Genomic DNA, 19,321 nt, shown 5'->3' on the forward strand with positions numbered 1-19,321 from the left:
CAGAATGTCATGTAAGTAGAATCACTCAGTATGTACGCTTTTGAGTCTAGTTTCTTACATTTAGCATAACCATTTGAGATTCAGCCACAGTGTCGTGTGTATCAGTAGTTTGCATCTTTTTATGGATGACTTGGGTTGCATCCAATGGATATACCAGTTTGTTTAGCTATTGACTTGTGTTTCCAGTTTTTGGTGATTTTGAATAAAGCCATAATAAACATTTGCATACAGGTTTTCGTTTGAACATAAGTTTCTGTTTCATCCAGGAATGGCATTGCTAGGTGGTATGGCAAGAATATGGTTAACTTTATAAGAAACTGCCAAACTGTTTCAAAGTGGCTGTGCCATTTTGCACCCGACCAACAATGTAAAAGAGTTTCAATCGCTGTGCATCCTCATCAGCACTTGGTAATATCAGTTAGGGTTTAAACGAAAAAATTTAAGCTGGGCACACTGGCTTATACCTGTGACCCCAACACTTTGGGAGGCCAGGGTAGAAGGATTGCTTGAGCCCAGGAATTCAAGACCAGCCTGGGCAACACAGCAAAACCCTGTCTCCCTAATTAAAAAAAAAAATTAGTCATGCTAATACATGTGCAGAGGTATCTTACTGTGATTTTAATTTGCATTTGTCTAATGACTAATGAGGTTGGGCACTTTTTTTAACTTGCCATTCATCTATATCTTCTTTGGGGAAGTGCCAAAGCTTTTGCCCATTTTTAAGTTGGGTTGTTTGTTTCCTTGTTATTGAGTTTTCATATATTCCGGATACAAATCCATTGTCAGATGTAATAATGTGTGCTTTGAAAAGCCTTCTAGGTGACTCTGTGTCGCACTAAAGTTTGAAAAACATTTGTGGCTGGGCGTGGTGGCTCACGCCTGTAATCCCAGCACTTTGGGAGGCCAAAGGGGGCGGATCATGAGGTCAGGAGATCAAAACCATCCTGGCTAACACAGTGAAACCCTATCTCTACTAAAAATACAAAAAAAAAAAAAAATTAGCTGGGCGTGGTGGCAGGCGCCTGTAGTCCCAGCTACCTGGGAGGCTGAGGCAGGTGAATGGCGTGAACCTGGGAGGCGGAGGTGGCAGTGAGCCGAGACCGTGCCACTGCATTCCAGCCTGGGCGACAGAGTGAGACTCCGTCTCAAAAAAAAAAAAAAAAAAAAAAAAGGAAAAACACTTGTATAATGAATTGGTATTACCTCACAGGTAGTTTTAACAATCATTAACACTTTGCAGTATTTAGCCCATTTATTTTTATCTATGCTGAAATATTTTAAAACAAATCCTGGGCATAATGCAATTTCACCTTTAAATATTTCAATATGCATTTCTAAATAAGAACATATTTCTTATACAATAAAAGTATTATATCCCACCTTACAAAGTAATACCATAATTATTAGTCTAATACCCATTCCAAATTTTAATTCCAACAGTACATTTATGGCTCTTGAAAGCTTTGTTTGATTATTTTGCTTTTATCTTTGTTCTGTTTTTATATTTTGCTCTTCCTTTTTCTGTTGCTCCTTATCTTTCTAATAATTTTAAATATTTTGAACATTCACCTATTATTTTATTTTTCCATTATCTCAAACTCTTGGGAGGTATTTCTTCTGCCTAGTGTCTGATGACTCTCCCTTACAGTAGACTGTTTCCTCGTGTGGTTGGTAATTGTTGGATTGTGAACTCATCTTTAGTAGTGCTTCAACTGTGGGAATTCTATTCAGCCTGGTTGTAGGGCTCCAGGGTCCAGAGAGAATTTTCCATTCCTTCCCCTGGGTGCTTGCCAAAGTATCATTACCCTGATATCAATGATTATGGGTATTTACAACACTCATTAGAATTTATAATACCTCCATGGTATTGTAAATACCAATCTTGGCTCAAAGATTTCAGAACCATGGAGGTATTATAAATTCTAATGTTCACCAGAAACAAGGGGCACACCTTAGATCACAAATCCTCAAAGGAGACCACTGGAGGCTGAGTTGAGACAGATAAGCTTTTGTTTTAGCTCCCTGATAGACGGGTGAATATTTTCCAAGTCTCCTCTTTCACTGAGGGTAGATCTCTTCAAAGGTCCTGGCTTTATGCCGGGGTCTCAGTACCAACTTGGGAAAGTACAAGGTAGCTTTTCCTGTGTCTCTGAGCCATTAAAACCCAAGCCTTCGGCTACCAGACGCACAAACATCCCCCCATTCCTGCTGCCACCCCAGTAGAGAAGCCCCAGCATCACCTGCACTCATCCTACTTGTTTTCCATTTCTCTCCATTTTTTGAGTGGAAATGCATGTATAGGCCCATTTGTGGAGAATTGATGTCTTTTTCTTTGGGAGACAATATTGAATCTTCCAGTCAATGATCACAGTATATTCCTCCATTCATTTTTATCTTTAATTTCTCCTAAGAACACTGTGTACTTGTATGAGAAAAAGTCTTATACCACTCTCATTAAATGTATTCCTAGGCATTTAAAGTGTGTTAAAGCTACAGAAATTGGATTGTTTTTCAAATTTCATTTTCTAATTATTTGTTCCTGGTGTAAAAATATACAGTTCGTTTTATATTCTGAGCTTAAAAAATTTATTTTTAATTCTTGTGGGTATGTAGTAGGTGTATATATCTATGGGGTAGATGAGATATTTTGATACAGGTACGCACTGCATAATAATCACATCAAAGTAAATGGGGTATCCATCACCTCAAGCATTTATCCTTTGTGTTACAAACAATCCAATTAAATCTTTTTAGTTATTTTTAAATGTACAATTACATCATTATTGACTATAGTCACCCTAGTGTGCTATCAAATACTAGGTCTTATTCATTCTTTCTATTTTTTTTTGCAAAACTACGGAAGACTTCACAAATTTGTGTGTCATTCTTGCACAGAGGCCATGCTAATCTTCTCTGTATCATTCCAATTTTAGTATCTGTGCTGCCTAAGCGAGTACGTATTCTGAACTTTTAAATTCACTCATTAATTCTAAGTTTAGCCATACATTCTTTTGGATTTTCTATATACATAATCATATCATCTGTGAAAATGACAGTTTTATTTCTTACTTTCTAAACTTTATGCCTTTCATTTCTCTTATTTGCCTTATTGGACTGGCCAGACCTCCCTTACAAAGTTGATGGGGTGATTACACAGACCATCCTTATCTCCTTGATACTCTCACTCGCTTCATTTCTGATGCCTGAGGTTGTCCTTACTTTCCTGTGACTGCACCTGAGCATTTCAAAGGAGTTTGAAGCTGGAAGCTTGTCTGGTCACCTGCTGGACCCCAGCCTCCCTGCAGCATCCCTCCTTTTGCACATGCCTCATTTTGCGGGGCTCTGCCTGAGTTAAAGGCAGGGTTCAGCCTGATGGGGCATATTCTGGTTTCTCCTCTATGTGCTGACAGAGAGGGGAAGGAAACTCACAGATCCTGCAGCAGCCATGCCCTGTGCACACCACCACATTATCTTGTTCCACCTCATTCACTTCTCACAGTGGCCTTGGGAGGAGGTAGGTGCTGCGATCACACCCATTTGACAGACGAGGAAACAGGCTCAGAAAAGGGAGGTCTTTGGCGAAAGCAGCGTCTACCAAGAGCTGGAAGCAGACCCCAGGCCTTTTAGCGTTTTCTACCCTGTGCTTGAGGCCCCATCGAGCGGGTTATGTTTTTCACATTCCTCATCTAAGTCTCCTTTCTCAGTACTGGGCTGACACGGGCAAGAACAGGTGCCAAAGTGAGAAGGGACGCACCATCAAGCTGGTGGGCTCCCTGCGCTGCCTCAGGGCTCAGCCCTCCGGGGCACCTTCTGCTCCTTCCTCAGGCCTCGTCTGAGCCTGCACATGCCCCCGCCTGCCCTTGAAGAAGGGCTCTCCTACCACCCCAACCTCTGCGGCTCCAGCTTAGCCTAGTGTTAGCAGAAGAGGCTCAGGGGTCAGCCAGGCCTCAGTAGAGATCCTGGCTCTGCCATTCGCCAGCTGTGGGAACTTCGCTCTCCTCCCCAACCTCACACCCATGGAAAGTGAGACCTGACCCAGCGGCCCACGCGCCCTCCCATCCTCAGCGGCAGCGGGAGAAAAGACGGGAGAAGGTCTGGTCCCCGCAGGTGGCAGAGGCCACTTTCCCCACTCTGCTCCAGCCAGGTCTTTTTCATGAGGGGAGGGTCTGATTAGGGTTCAGCCTGGGTATGAGTGGCCTGAGTCAAGGTCAGGACTCAGTCTGGGCCAGCGTCAGGGCTCAGCCAGAACCGGAAACAGGGCTCAGTCTACGGGAGGTTTCTCAGCCTTCGCACTATGGGTATTTTTTGCCAGATGATTCCTGTGGTGGGGGCTTCTCTTCTGCATTGTAGGAAGCTGAGCAGCATCCTTGGCCTCTAACCACCAGATGCCAGGAGCATCTGTGGCCAACAAAAATGACTCCAAACATTGCCAAACGTGCCCTAGGGGAACCATATCGCCCCCAACAGAGAACCATTGCTCTATAGTCAGGAGGGGACTCAACCTGGGTCAGGGGTGGGGCTCAACCTGAGTTAGGGGAGGGGGTTCAACCTGGGTCTGGGCCAGGCTCAGCCTGAGTTAAGGGCGGGGCTCAGACTGACTTAAGGGCTGGGCGCAGACTGAGTCGGAGGTGGGGCTCAACCTGGTTCCGGGCCGGATCCTGTAGAGTTGAGGGCGGGGCTCAGCCTGGCTCCGGGCCGGATACTGCTGAGTTGAGGGCGGGGCTCAGCCTGAGTCAGTGTTGCTGGTCAACTTGGGCCTATGGAAGCCTGACAGCGTTCCCACCTGCAGCTGTAACCATTGAGAAAGGTCCCAGTTGCCAACTACCGTGCTCCGCCAGACCAGGGCTGGGCTCTCTTTGCTTGCCAGCAGCTGATAAATAACAAATCAAATAGCAGTTAAGCCAGGAATCATTTCCAGGTCCCCTGGGGTTGGGTCCTCAGCAGCTCCGCTCATCCGCCTTCCACCTCCAGTTCACATCAGCCACCACGGATTCAGGCGACACCCCATTAAGTATAATGCCTCCCATTACGGTTTCCTAATACGCACTTCATTTAGATTCAACAAGATGTTTCTGAGCTAATAAAATCAAAAAGACTGGGTTCTATCAACTGTGTGACAGTGAACGTCTCTGGTATTTCAGGAGGGCAATTCTGGAATTAAAATACGTCTTATCCTGTGCAGATTAGATTCTGTCCCTGGAAAATCCCTCTCTATCTCCAGCTGTCTTGGGAAGACCAGAGATAAGCTTGCTAGCTCCAGGTTTATGAATCCTAAGAGAAAAGTGGGGGAGGGAGAAGGATTATCTCTTAAGGAAAGGATAAGGAAGCCAAAGCCCAAGTTCACCAAATTCAGAGCAGTGGAATCCCAGAGTGGATGTGGAGCTGTGAGCCCTAATTGTAAAAACAAGTCAGAAATTCAGACGGAGGAACAACGGCACCCCCAAGAGCTGGATGCTGAAGCACAGGGTGCCCGATGTTGGCTGGCGAAGGGGGGGACCCATGCCCTGGGTCTCCGTGGTGCCCTCCAAGTTTGTCTCTGACACTGCCTGTCTTCCCTTTCCTCACCCCAATATTCAGATTTTGCTCCAGTGCACTACCGGGTGCTAAAGTGGGTTACAGTGACAGCTTAGGGACAGCGGAGGTGCCGGAGTCTGCTGGTCTCAACACCGAGTGGCTGCAACTCCCTTCCTGCTACAATTTTTGGCCGGTTTGGGGTTCAGCCTGTGAGCCATCTCTTTTCCCAGCTGTCAGAGACTTGACTGCGTGCTGCAAAACAAGTCATACTACTGTGCGCAAAGAGTCAGTGGGCAGCAGGCGAGGCCTCGAGAGACTTCCCTAGGCATCTCAGGGTGTGCCCTTGGTGGCCTCTTGTGGAAGTCAAGAAGCCATTCTTGATAGGCGAGTTGCCAGATGAGAGGCTTCTGAGCACCCAAGACCCCCTGGCATAGTCAGAAAGGTGCCCGGAAGGAATGCTGCAGTGTTTGCTGATGCCTATTCAGAGGGGACATAGGGCCTCTCTTTCACGAACATCCTCAGATGGGGGGGAACTGAGGCAGCATCCAAACCAAGAATCAAAATAGGGTTAGAATTACAATTGGCTGTGTGACTCGAGCCTCCATTTTCCCCTCTGTAAAATGGGGGTGTCTCTCCCATGGCTGACTCCAGCTGGCCAGAGCTTGAGAAGTTGAGGGGATTACTTTATTTATAGAAAACCCCTTGGGGGGGTCAGACCCTAGGCCCCCTCCTCAGAGAACATGCTTGCTCTCTCCCACTCTCTCTTTTTTGTTCCAGGACCTGGTAATTATATGCTTAGAGATGAAGGCTTTTCAAAAACATCTTTCCCACCAATTTTCAGCTGGAAACGTGCATAAAAAACAGAGATATTTTTATCCATGTTTTTTTTTTTCCCTGTCTCCTCCTTCCAGCAACGGGCAATTATGAGCTTTTGCCTTCAGTCAATCGTCCTGTAGGAACTCGCTTCAGAGGAAAATTCATTTCCGCAGTGGTGCCAGCCAGTCCCGGCGAATGTGGGGTGTGCAAGTCAGGGGAGGAGGGACAGAGGGAGAAACGTGCTTGGAGCTCAGACCTGTGCACCTGGTACTCAGGCCCACGCTGCAGCCGGGGTGGGTGGCCTTCTTTTTTATTTTATTTCTCTTGAAATCATGGCTAATTTGCCTTCATTATCTCCCGCTCTCTGGGGCCTCAGGGGGCTATTGAGCTTTGACAAAGGGAAAAGGAAGTCAACTCCTTGCCAGGCTGCCTTCGCCAGGGTCCTGCCTAAGCGGGTGGCTGGAAAGAAGCGTGGGGGAGTGGGTGGGACTATAAAGTCAGCCGGCTTTGACTGCTGCCCTGTTCTGTGAGCCTCCTGGAGGGAGGACTCAGCATCTCAAAAGGGACCACTGAGAAAACAAATGCCCAGAGGCTCCACTTGGGGCGAACAGGACATGATTTGCAGGGACGGTGAGCTGTCGGCCAGGACCATGCCAGCTCACCGGGACCCTGGGTGCTGAAGAGGACATGGGCGCTAAGTACTCCACCAAGTGACGGTCCAGCCCCAGCCAGCTTCGCCCCACCATGGAAGGGATTGTTGATATGGTGGGAAGGGAGGGATAGGCTTTGGAGTCAGTCCAACTTGGGACTTTGATTCTAAATCGGCTGCCAACTGGCTAAGGGATCTGGGACAAGTCACTTCTCTCTGAGCCTCAGACTTCTCCTCTGCAAAATGGGGGTACTGGTGCCCACCTCATGGGTTGCTGGGAGGAACTGTGGGGAAGTGTGCACAGAAACCATAAAACATGGCAGTTCCCTCCCTGCCTGCTTCCCTCACCTTGTTGAAAGGTTTTCCTAGATCAATCATGATGATGGCTCCTAGTGATTAAGTGCTGGTTTCTGTGCTTCCTAAGCACGATCTCATTTAATCCTCACCACTTTTGAGGCGGTATAATCATGATTCTCATTTTACAGATGAGGAAACTGAGGCACAGAGAGGTTAAGTGATATCCCATGATAAAGGGCAGGGCCAGGGTTTGAACCCAGGCCTAATGAGGCACAGAGAGGTCAAGGGAACTGCCCAGGGGCACAGAGCTTCTAAGTGGCAGAGCCAGGATTGAAGCCCAGGCCTTCTGGCTCCCTAAGGGGTCTGGCCCTACCCTCTGGGTACCTTCCTGCCTACTCCCCCATCCATGCAAGCCTGGAAGTTGCTGTAATGCCTGCAGCCCCGGGGCTGTTCGGCTCCAGGCAGAGCCCCAGCTCCTTTGGGCGTTCCTCCCTGGCCACTGAGGGCTGGAACAGGCCAAGGGCTCGATGGAGATGCCTCAAAGCCAGTTACAGGCTGACCTCTGAATGACAGTTCCAATCCCCACGGGCGACAAGCCTCCCAGGAAGCCCAGCTTCCATGGGGAGAGCAGCATAGAAAGATCAGATAAGCTCGGCAGAAGCACGTTTTTCAGGGAGACAAAAAGAAATGCATCAATACATTTAAAAATTTGAAGCCTCATTCATTTGTTGCCAAGGATTGCAAAGAAAAAAATAAAGAACCTTAATAAGTAGCACCCAGTGTTGGGCCCTTCCCTGGGCCAGGCCTGCTCTAAGCACTTTATGAATGCTAAGTCAGTTAATTGTCCTAAGAACCATGGAGGGAGGCTCACCGATTGTCCCCAGTTTACAGATAGGGAGCCTGAGGCCCAGAGAAGCCACTGAGCTGGTGAGCTGCAGAGGCACCTGGAACCCAGGGCTCCCTGACCTCACAACAGACCATGCCCTGAACCCTTGGCTCTGCTCTTTCCCTCCAAACAGGAGGGCAACAGACCCCAAATGAGAAGCATCAGGGCACTGGGAAGGTGACAGCTCCAGTATCCCAAGAATACCTAAGTTAGGGCTCAGGCACTCACAGGCTGGGTGCATCAGGGCTAGCAGGACCCATGGCATCACCTGGAGAGGCCGCCACCCCCACAATCCTCCTCCACACAGGGAGAGGGGCTCCTGTCCAGCAGGCCTGAGCCACACGCAGGCCAACATCCCACCATGGGAGAGCGGGGGCGCAGTCTCAAGTTGGGGGTTGGCCTTCTGCGTTCTGGGTCCTGCTCTCCTGCCCTACTCTAAAACCAGCAATGTCAAGGAACGTGACCTCAAAATCAGGGTCACCCACAGAACCATTCAGTTTCCCAATGGCGGCTGCCTGCAGTCACAAGAAGACTGTGTCTAGCTCAGGGAGAGTAGAAGCAGAAGTCCTCACCACAACTGTCAGTCCCCGGTCCCCTGACTTCACCTCCTGATGCTCGCCCTGGCCAGCTCCACTCCAGCACACTGCATTTTCTCACTTAATCCTCATAACCACACTGCCACTTGGGCACTGTTATTCTCCCCATTTTACAGCTGGGAAAACTGAGGCATGGAGATGCTAAGTGACTTGTTCCTGGTTACACAGCCAGAAGTGACAAAGCGGAGATTTGACCCTATGGGCCCACCCCACCTTGGCAACTGCACTCTAAAGGGAGGTGAAGCCTTCCTGGACACATCTGTCCTTTCGACCCAAGGCCCACCAGACTCACATCCCCCTAGGGCCTTTGCATCGGCTGTTCCCTCTGCCCACAAAACTCTTCCCCAGACATCATCAAAACTCCCGTCTCAGCTCCTTCGGGAACTTGTAGAAATGTCACCTCCTCAGGGAGGCCTTCCCCATCCGCCTGTTGGAACTTACACACGCACCCTGTACCTCCACACCTCCTCTCCACTCCCTCCCTGCTTCATGTTCCTCTGGGCAATCAACACCATCTAAATATTTACGACTATTTTTACTGGGATGTCAGCTCCAGGGGGCCGGGCTTCTGTCTGCCTGCTCACTGCTGTGTGCAGCGCACACATTGTCTGGCATGTAGTACATGCTCAGCAAATATTTTTTTAATTCAATTCCCATTTACAGATTAGGAGAATGAGAATCAAAGAGGTGGAATGAGTTTCTCAAGGTCAGAGACTAGGAAGAGACAGAGCCAGGACGCAAACTCAGGCGAAGGATCCCCCATGGCCACAGCCCCTGCTGTGGAGTAGGAGGCCAGGCCTGCCTGAGGAGTCTCAGAGCCAAGGGGTAGGCCTGGTGAGGGCCCCTCGGAGGAGTGGGTAGCCCAGGGCACAGCAGGGGGACCTTCACACATGTACACCCACACCCACTGAGACTTCCCTGCCCCCAGCATGGCAGCAAGTGCCTGCTCAGACCTAGCAGGCCTGGAACAAAGATGTCTTTGTGGCTGCGGAGTCAGAGCAGGCCTCCCGTCCTCAAGGCAGGAGAGTGAACATGGAGAGGGACTTCCTGCCAAAATCTGTGTTCAGGCCTACTGTGTGCCCCAGCCTGGGCCAATGGAGATAGGTCACAGTCCCTTCCTGCCAGAACTCTGGGGTTAGTGACAGGAAAGCAAGACTCCCTGGAGTGAGACGACATGCCCAGGGTGTGGGGCCTGAGAAGGGACCCACCCAGAGTCCATCAGGAGCAGAGAAAGGGCATAGGGCTGCCTGGTCCACAGAGCCCAGCTCCAATCGGGGCACTCACTGACGCACACTGCCAGTGGGCTGACTTCTCAGGGCTGCAGTCTTCTGTGCCAAATGTGGAGGTATATGGCTGTCCTTACCAGCAACAGGGGAGGTCACATGACCAGGCCTGGCCAATCAGAGGCTCAGCGATCCATCAGGGGTGGGCATGTGATACAAGTTGGACCAATGAGAGCCGTTTCTGGGGCATTTGCTGGAACTACTGGAAATAGGCTCTCTTTCCTTAGGGATGACTGAGCTGGTTGACCTTAAGTTTGAAGGTGCCAGGAACTCTCAAGGAGAGGAGAGAGTCTGCCTGGAAATGAAGCTCACTAAAGTGAAGCAGAGCAAGCTACGAAGAGACCCAGAGTCCTAATGATGTTAATTGAGCATCTGGATCCCACTGTGCCTGAAGCTCCATCTTTACACTTTTTGGAAGAAGAGCCTTGGTGCTGATGCAAACTGAAGCAAGTGTGATCATGAGGTTCTGTGACCTGGGGAGGAGACCTAGGGTGGAGGCTACAGTGGTGAGGGTAGAGGTCAAGTAAGTCATCAGAGAGAGAAAATGTCAGAGAGGTCAGGAAGGGCCTTGAATGCAAGGCTTAGGAGCTGAGCAGATTTGTGTTTTGGCAAGCTTCCTCCCATGGCAGCAAAGGGGTGGAGGCCAGGCCAGGGAGGAGACTGGGCAAAGGCCCAGGCAGTTGATGCTGACCCTGGGCCGAGGTGGAGGTCACAGGCCCATGAGGAGGGGGAGACACCTCCCTGGCAGTGCCCCAGGTAAGGTCTCCAGGGCACTGCTGCCTTTGTGGCCCTGACCACAGCAGACCAAGGTGACCCCACTCACCTGGGCCTTGGGTTGAAAGAACAGATGTGTCCAGGCCAAGAAGGCAGAGCCTCCATTTACAGTGCAGTTGCCAAGGATGGGTGGGCCCATCGGGTCAAATCCCAGCTTTGTCACTTCTGGCTATATAACCCTGAACAAGTCACTTAGCAGCTCTCTGCCTCAGTTTCCCCAACTGCAAAATGGAGAGAATAACAGTACCCAAGTGGCAGTGTAGTTATGAGGATTAAATGAGAAAATGCACAGAAAGCTTAGAAAAGAGCCTGGCCCAGAGGAAGCTCTCGACAACAGCCAGCTATTATGATTATGAGTGTTATTTTTCCTGGGTCGCTAAGGCTGGGTCCAGAGGTGACCTGGCTCTGCTCCTTGCCATGGGAAGGGAGGTGGGAATCAAAGTCCACTGGGCCCTCAGAAGCAGGGCTGGGGGCTCTGCAGTAAAAGTCATCGGGGTGTCAATCCCAGCTCGGCCACTGCCCTCCCTGAGCCTTGGTTTCCTCCTCTGTCCACTGGGACCACAGTCCTTGCCCTTGGAGCTGTGGTGCAAAGATATGTCAAGAGCGTGGGAAGAAACCAGTGAGGCAACCCCAGGGCAGTGAATGCAGTATGTTCTGGTCCAGGCCCCAAGCTCCCTCTTTGGAGGAATAGGGTGAGCCCAGGCTGAGGCTGGAGAGACAGATGGAACAATCGTGTCTGCCCCTCCCCTGGGTCCCAGCCTCAGCACACCCAGGAATGTGGCAGCTGTGATCCCCCATCCCACACATTCCCAGAGCCCCAGGGGCTCACCAGTCAGACCCCCAAACCAGAGTTTCTCCTCCTGCCGAGAACCAGTCTCCTGCCCAGCTGTGCCAGCACAGGAACTCCTCACCACCACCTTGCCCATGGGCCTTGGGCTCTCACCCCTCTGGGTCGGACACTCACTCCCACCAGGCAGCTGTGCAGATCCTGAGATTGGGCAAAAGGCTTCGCTCACACCCAGATAGGACCAGCCTTCCCCCTACAAGGCTGAGCACTGCCCTCGGAACCTCCAGACCCGCCTGTTCTGCCTGCCTGTGCTGGACAGCCCTGGGGGAGGCTCAGCCATCCTGCTACAGGACAGTGGCCAGGGTCAGACAGACAGCCCCAGCAAGTGTCCTGCCCCACCCTCCCCAAGCCCTGGGTCTCCAGGGAGTGGCAGTCCCAGGTCTCAGCCATCCAGTCCCCTCTCTCTGGGCAGCAGCTCCAGAGGGATCTATGTGTTCAGCCCCATCACTCTGCCCACAGACCCCCCATTACGTACCCGCCTCTCCAGGGGTCTCCCGGCTGAGCCCACACAGCATGTTCGCTATTGTCTCCCCTGCTGCCCACCAACTCCCTCGGGAGCCACGCTGCTTGGCCCTCCCTCCCCTCCCCAGGGAGGGGCTGTGGGAGGGAAGCTCACAGCTCCCACTGGCTGGGCACCGAGTCCACCCACTGCAGCGGGCGGCTCTCTGCTTAAAGGGGACATGGCTATTGTCAAGGCTGGCTCCAGGACAGGGTCCAACATGCCCCACCCCTGCAGCCTGGGTCTGGACAGGGGGTCTTTGAAGGTGGCATGCCTGGGGCTTCCCCCAGGGCTCTCAGGCAGAGAGAGAGCCTGCTTCTAACTTGCCCTGGGACTTTGGCAAACGACTCTTCCCTCACTAGGCATCAGTTTTTTCATCTGGAGACAGGGAACAGTGCTTTCCAAACTTTTTTTTTTTCTAAACGGCAGATTCCAAGAGAATTTGCACAGAACCCCAGGACATAAGCTAGATGAAGCACAGACTCTTTGACTGCATGAACAATGCCAGGGCGTCTCTGTAGGTCTCAGCTTAGAAACCCTTGAGCTTGGAGACCCTCCAGGGCCCTCCCACCAATGTTCCAACTACCTCTCCTAGGTATCAGTTTTCCCTCGGTAAAATGGGACTTAGGAAAGATGAACCCGGCAGCCTGCCACGTGGAGTGGCCACCCAGCTTTTTGTGAAGACCAAGTGAGCTGGGTGGAGGATCTGCCCGCCTCTGGGCTTGATAGGCAGGGCCAGTTGGTCACAGGCTCCAGCCACACCTGGCAGGCTCTGCCCCGTCCCAGACCCAGCTGGGCCTTAGCCTTGCACACTCCTGGGATTCCTCCACATTGGCTCAGGACTGACCAGGCTGATCTTAATGGACACCTGAGGCTCCTCCTCTACCTGTCTGTGAGAAGGGGTGGCAGGCTGCACCCAATTTCCCCTGCCCTCCATCCCACCAGTGTGTGCTGGCACCAACTGAGGGTCAGACACCAAGAAGGGTGGGGTGATGGTGACAGGGCACTGAATGGTGGATGTCAACAACCTGTACAACTGCACAGTGCGTCTGGCAACAGAGAACCAGACAGACAAGGCCTGGCTCCCATGGAGTTCCTGACCGCGTGGGAACACACGAGCCTCATATTTCTTCCATGTGCCCTGCAGCTAGTGGGAGAGGGCTGCCCGGTAGTTAGGGACCCGAGGTTTCTTGTGGGTTCCCTCCAGAACAGTGACCCCAGCATGGAATTTAGCCACAATTCCTGGGCCGCCCCACACTGGCTCCTGCCAGCCCAACGCTAGTGGCACCTTTAGAATAATCCAGGTTCTAAATCTGGGGCAGGGCTACTTGTGCTTTTGTATCTGCAAACTCAAGACCCTGCCCTGCCGCCCACTTCCTATGGTGCCTTCCTCTTTGGGCAACTTGAGATCTGTTTCTGGGGGAAGGGTCCAGGTGCCAGGCAAGTTTCCCTTGACCAGCAGTGATGCCAAGGTCTCAGCCACAGGGTGGGTGGTGAGGGTCAGATTGCAGAGGGAAGACCTGAATTTAGTGGACATTTCCTGGACGACTCAAATCATGCAGGGACGGGGGTACACGCACTCAATTTGGCCACCGGTACCCTGGCAGTGGTCAGGGAGAGGCTCGCCATGAAGACCCTGGCCTTCACCAGGGCACAGAGGCCACTCTGGAGCAGTCTTAGCTTCAACCACGCGGGAAGGAATGCATGTGAACTGCTCTAACAGATCCTCACCCCACTCGCCTCCATTCCCTCCATCTACAGCCTCTTCAGTCAGGGAGGACAGGCGCATGGCACCCAGGCAGTTGGAGTTAGATCTGCCCCTTCTTTCTCCCTCTTTCTCTTTCTCTCTTTTTATTTTTTATTTTTTTTATTTTTTTTTGTGACACAGCGTCTCACTCTGTCACCTGGGCTGGAGTGCAGTGGCGCAGTCTCCACTCACTGCAACACACTGGCTGGGCTCAGATGATCCTCCCACCTCAGCCTCCCTGGTATCTGGGACTACAGGCAGGTGCCACCATGCCTGGCTAAGTTTTACATTTTTTGTAGTGATGAGGTTTTCACCATGTTGCCCAGGCTGGTCTCAAACTCCTGTATCTGCTCCTTCTCAAAACAAAATTTGCTCTCCATACAGGTGCATTTAAATGAGTGATGAAGATTGGCAATTGGAAGCCTTGCCTCATTTCTCTGCTCCTTCTCTTAAAAAAAATTTGCTCTCCATACAGATGCATTTAAATGAGTGATTAAGATTGGCAATTGGAAGCCTTGCCACATTTCTGTCTCTCTCACTGCTCCTTTGGAGTTTACTTTTGTGGACCCCCAAGCTCCTGGAAAGGTCATGCCGTGGATTATGGGAGAGCTTCTGTGGCGTTTCTCTGAGTGCTTGCCATGCTATGCAATGTAGGCAGATGGGAAACAGCATCTCCCCTTTGCCCTCTGTCCTCGACACCCTACTGAGCACATTTTCATTTGATTTTATCCAAGTGCATGTTCAGAAGCAATTATTGGCCCATTTTGGAACAAGACAGAATTTAAATAAATAACTTGGCACAGAGAGGTTAAGCAACTTGCCCAAGGTCACACAGCTGGTAAGGATGGAGCCAAGTTTCACACTCAGGAGGCCTGGCACCAGCACCGCTATTCTTAATGGCACTGCTATGGGCCTCAGGATTTCAGGGATTTGTAAAGCTTCTGGGTGTGCAGAGGAAGAGGAATTAGCTCTGTCTGGGAGTCCACTGAGAAGGGTTTTTTAGACTGACTTTGAAGGATGGGAAGGAGTTTGTCCACGAAGGAAAAAGCCATTGCACGCGTGTGAGTCCATGGCCGAAATCCCACATGACTAAGTGAGGAGACAAAGAAGGAAACAGAGATACAGCCAGGCCTGGGGTGGTCTACTAGGGTCTCGCTCCTCCAAGTGCAGTCTGAGGACCAGCAGCATCTGCATCACCCGGAGCTTGTCAGACACGCAGATGCTCGGGCCCCGCCCAGGCCCGCCAAATCAAAAGCTGCATGTTAAGAGGGTCCTCAGGTGATGCATATGAAGTTTGAGGAGCGCTGTATTAAAGAGTTTGTCTTTCATCCTGCAGGAAATGGAGAGCTAAGGATAGCTGTAGTGCAGCGGGGTGAGACAGCTTTGCAAGCACCTCAAACACAGAGTGCAGGCTGACAGTAGGTGAGAGAAGGATTTCCGTCTGGGAGGCGGCCTAGGAATGAGCAGCAAGGGCTCCTTCTAGGACATGAGAAGAGGCAAAGCTGCTGCTTGATCACCCTCCAAAGACGATCCTTCTTGTCCAATGCTGCCAACTTCAGGGAAGCAGAAGAAAAGGGGAACAGATTGCCTGGGCATGCAAGGTGGCTGGAAGCCAGGCCTGCCAAGCACCCAGGCCACCAGGGGCTCCTGAGGACAGCATCTGACTGCCCCATGTTTCAAATGCTGTGGGTGACATGCGAGGGGGCTGAGCAGCCCAGGGGAGATGGCAGGGCCACTGAGCTGGCAGGCAGCCCCTCTTTGGTCAGGAGGGGCCCTGACACTTCCATGTCCCCAGGTTTGTGAGACAACTGGAAGACGGATTCCTGTGTGATCGGGGCACTTGTCCAAATCTCTCTGGACCTCAGCTTCCTCGGCTGTAGAATGAGAATAATAAAAACACCTACCCTCTAGGGTTGGGAAGACCACGTATTAATGAAACAGAAAGCATTCATCCACCCACTTGCCCGCCAAAAGTCTCAAACTAACGCCGTCAAATAGGCCAGAAACAGAATTTCAAGGGAGCTAAGCACACAGGTCAGACATGCCCAGGTTCGAATCCCAGCTCCACCACCCACAAGCTGTGTGACCCTAGGCAAGTCACATCTGTCTGAGATTCACTTTGCCCCTTGTGAGGAGTGAGGATCAGAGACCTTGGAAGCGTTTTGCAAACTCACGGTCACCACATGCTCTTCCCAACGCAGGGCCAGGCCTGCAGGTCCCTCACATTGTCTCTCAGTGGGGCACCACTGGCACTAGAGTTGGGGCATTCTGCTTGTGCGGGGCTGCTCTCACACTGCAGGGTTCCTAGCACCCCTAGCCCCTCCCACCCAGAGGCTAGTGGCCACTGTAGTTGAGAACCAAGCCCATGCTGCGCAGATGGGAAAACTGAGACCCACAGAGGGCCTTGTCGGGGGTGCCCCACCAGCACAGCGAGGGCCTGGACCCAGGCCTCCGTCCTTCATCTCTGACTCCAGGGCTGAGTCCGTCATAACACAGGCGAGCCTTGTCCTGAGCCCACCAGGGGCCCTGAGTGACAGCCGGAAATGAAGTCTGGGTGAGAGGGAGGCAGCAATGGCAATTCAAGGACAAGAGAGATAAACCTTTATTGCTCTGGGCTGTCCGTTGCTTCTTCCTCCGACCCTCCTCCCTCCACCCCAGGGGCCGGGCCAGGACAATTGCTCCCTCCCTGCCTGGTCCTCTCAGAACCTGCATCTTGTTGTTAAACATTTCAGCCAGGTAGGCATTATCGTACCCATTTTATAGATGGGGAAACTGAGGCTCAGTCTGGGATTCCACCAGCCACAGGGGAGGGGCACTAGGGGACCCCCTCTTAGGGGGCGCTGTTTGGTCTTGTCCTCACTCTGTCCAAGGTATTCCACATCTTCCCCAGCCCTCATGGCCCCTCACTTGACTTCAGGGAAGGCTGGGAGGAGCTTCAGGAGTAGTGCCACCCAGTGGGCTGCCCCAAGCTGTGAGCCTCAGACCCACAGAGCCTGCCAGCCTACAGGAAAACACGCAAGGCCACAGGCCAAGGAGGCTCCGACAGCCGCAAGAGCAAAGCATGGCAGCCGTGTGGACAGGCCCAGGAGAGGGGGTGTCCAGAATGTTGGGAAGAGCCACCGTTAACATAATCGGAGCAGAGACTCCACGCACCAGGCCTTGTGACCAGCATTTTGCACACATTTTCTCATTTCATCCCAGGAACATCTCCACTTCAGAGATGAGGAAGCCAGGGCCCAGAAAGGTAAAGCCACTTGCCCTTAGGCAGAATGTCAGGGGGAGCCAGGGTTTGAACCCAGGCCTGCCTGACAGCATCCCCACCCAGTGGCCCCGAGAAATGCACACACCGAACCACTCTCCACAGCCCAGGCATGTGAACACAGAGTCAGGAGGGCCAACGCAGCCAGCCAGCGACAAACACATGTTGAGAGGGGCTGGGAACCCCTGACTGGGCAGGGTCAAGTCACCAGCAGGCCAGGGGCCTGGCCACGGATGGGGCAGCTCCCAGGGGCTCCCTCTTGGGCTCCATGCTTCCCTTGACACCCACAATAGCTTCCCTCCTGGAGGACAGGACATGGGAGCACAGCTGTACAGTGGGCCTCTCTGAGCCTCAGGTTCCTCCTCTAAAATGTGGATGATGAAGTTGTCTGTACTAACAAGGTCTTTGTTGAGAAGCTCAGTGAATGAGCGAAACACCTAAAAAACTATAGCATGTGGGCACAGGGAGATGGCCAGCCTGATCATGGCCCTGCCCTGTCTCTCTGGTTACTTGTTCACTCAGAGAATATTTACTAAGCACCTACTACCTTCCAGAGGTCAGCTGGGCCAGACGTTTCAGCAGTGAACAGAGCAGGCAGACCCTCCTTTCTTAGAGCTTCTGGTCTAGGGAGGACCAGAGATCCAGCAAGAAAGACAGACAGACGGACAGACAGAAGGCATTTGAGATGGTCCCGAGGGCTGTGACAGACACAGTCACGATGTTGGCACAGAGAATACAAGGCAGGTGGTCAGGGAGAGGCTCTCAGAGTAGGCGACCTTTAAGCTGAGCCCCAGGTCTCCTTCACCAGCATCTTCACACCCCGTAGGGACCTGTGGGTGGGGTAGAGGGAGGGGACTGCTCTGCAGTAACTGCCTGGAGCTGGATGAGAAGGCACAAAGGGAGGAGGAGGTTCCAGGTAGGCCGACCAAGCTTGGGTACCAGGAGCAGCTGAGGGGCAGGTGCAGCTAACGCACAGAGACAAGGTCGGCCGAGGCCAGGGAGAGGAGTTGGGATTCTGTTGAGTGTGAGGGGAGGGTTTTTAGCAGGGTCGTGCTGTGACCTAACTTCTATTTTGCAATGGCAACTACCGGGAGTGGGCTGCAAGGGTCAGGATGGCACGGGGGTGAGGGGTCTGAGGGAGGAAATGGGCCAGGCACTTGAGAGGCGGGAGATCTGGAATCCAGGTCCCTTCTGCTCTGAGCCTCATTTTCCCCTTCAGTTGAGCATCAAAGCTCCTCTAATGACAGCCAATAGGGCACGTTTGAGGAATTGCCAGTGGGAGAGGTCAGAAAGCATGGAGTCAGGATGTATCTTGATGCAAAACAGGAAGAAAAAGAAAAATGGGCACCAGCTATAAACAGGCGAGGCACAGGGCGTGGAGGGCAAATGACCCCAAGTTCATGCAGAGGTGTCCCAACTAACTGTCACCAGAGAAGTGAAAACAGAAACAGCGAGCTCCCACTTGACTCTCCTCAAAATGGCAAATGCTGGAAATGCAGACAAAACCAAGAGCCGGTGAAGATGTGGGGAGATGGAGATGGAAAGTCACAGCACAGCTGGTGGGGGGTAAACTGAGGCAGCCACAGTGGCAGCACCTGGTGGTGTTAGGAGAAATTCCATGTCTGGCCACCTGTGTCCCAGTACCCTCACTCCTGGAAGTTATTGCAGAGTAATTCCACCCCCTACCCAGGTCCCTAAGGGGCATGAACTCTTGAGAATGTTGGTAAAGGTGACCTGGGACTCCATCCTAGGGTAGGGGACAGGTAACGTGGTGACTGCACACCGTGTTGTGTGACACAGCAGTTAGAAGTGCAGCCACATGAACAGATCTTAGAAAACCTAGTGTCACATTAAAGAAAGAAAGGAGGGGAGAAAGGGAGGGAGGAAAGATGGAAAGGAAGGAAAGAAGAGAGACAGAATGAGATCTACCCCGTGGTATCATTTATGTATTGAAATGTGGTGTCATTATGTATCGAAAGCAGACACATAAAGCACTATCTATGCTGCAAGGGCACACACAGACGGAAAGACCTGTTTCACCTATTTCAAGTGCAAGTTTAGAGGGAAGGAATTTGGGGTGGGGATAGGGCATGAAGGAGAAGAAATAAGATTATACAGAGCCAGATCTGGCGCTGGGATGGCCCAGAACCATGT

The 19,321-nt window shown here is 51.8% G+C and overlaps 1 protein-coding gene and 1 pseudogene across 9 annotated transcripts in view, besides 4 other annotated features; both read right to left on the reverse strand.

Moving 5' to 3' along the window:
* Positions 1-19,321, reverse strand: part of GRIP2 (glutamate receptor interacting protein 2) — a 113,911-nt gene that overhangs the window by 39,025 nt on the left and 55,565 nt on the right. The window contains exon 1 of one of the 9 annotated variants that reach the window (NM_001080423.4): positions 12,138-12,211. The exons of the other annotated variants lie outside the window; for them this stretch is intronic. Coding sequence (NP_001073892.3) covers positions 12,138-12,177 — 40 coding nt within the window. The 5' untranslated portion in view covers positions 12,178-12,211. Of the gene's footprint in view, positions 1-12,137; positions 12,212-19,321 lie in introns of those variants that run through there. 9 annotated transcript variants of the gene reach the window in all.
* Positions 2,851-2,957, reverse strand: RNU6-905P (RNA, U6 small nuclear 905, pseudogene; annotated as a pseudogene).
* Positions 3,408-4,198: an enhancer, noted in NCBI's record as "H3K4me1 hESC enhancer chr3:14573046-14573836 (GRCh37/hg19 assembly coordinates)". NCBI's record gives its function as "activates a minimal SCP1, AML or CMV promoter by ChIP-STARR-seq in primed H9 embryonic stem cells {active_cell/tissue: H9 hESC(primed)}" and the evidence as "EXISTENCE:reporter gene assay evidence [ECO:0000049][PMID:30033119]".
* Positions 4,199-4,989: an enhancer, noted in NCBI's record as "H3K4me1 hESC enhancer chr3:14573837-14574627 (GRCh37/hg19 assembly coordinates)". NCBI's record gives its function as "activates a minimal SCP1, AML or CMV promoter by ChIP-STARR-seq in naive H9 embryonic stem cells {active_cell/tissue: H9 hESC(naive)}" and the evidence as "EXISTENCE:reporter gene assay evidence [ECO:0000049][PMID:30033119]".
* Positions 8,024-8,983: an enhancer, noted in NCBI's record as "H3K4me1 hESC enhancer chr3:14577662-14578621 (GRCh37/hg19 assembly coordinates)". NCBI's record gives its function as "activates a minimal SCP1, AML or CMV promoter by ChIP-STARR-seq in naive H9 embryonic stem cells {active_cell/tissue: H9 hESC(naive)}" and the evidence as "EXISTENCE:reporter gene assay evidence [ECO:0000049][PMID:30033119]".
* Positions 14,946-15,446: an enhancer, noted in NCBI's record as "H3K27ac hESC enhancer chr3:14584584-14585084 (GRCh37/hg19 assembly coordinates)". NCBI's record gives its function as "activates a minimal SCP1, AML or CMV promoter by ChIP-STARR-seq in primed H9 embryonic stem cells {active_cell/tissue: H9 hESC(primed)}" and the evidence as "EXISTENCE:reporter gene assay evidence [ECO:0000049][PMID:30033119]".

This window comes from Homo sapiens, chromosome 3 (genome assembly GCF_000001405.40).
Source record: "Homo sapiens chromosome 3, GRCh38.p14 Primary Assembly".
Taxonomy (NCBI): Eukaryota; Metazoa; Chordata; class Mammalia; order Primates; family Hominidae; genus Homo; species Homo sapiens.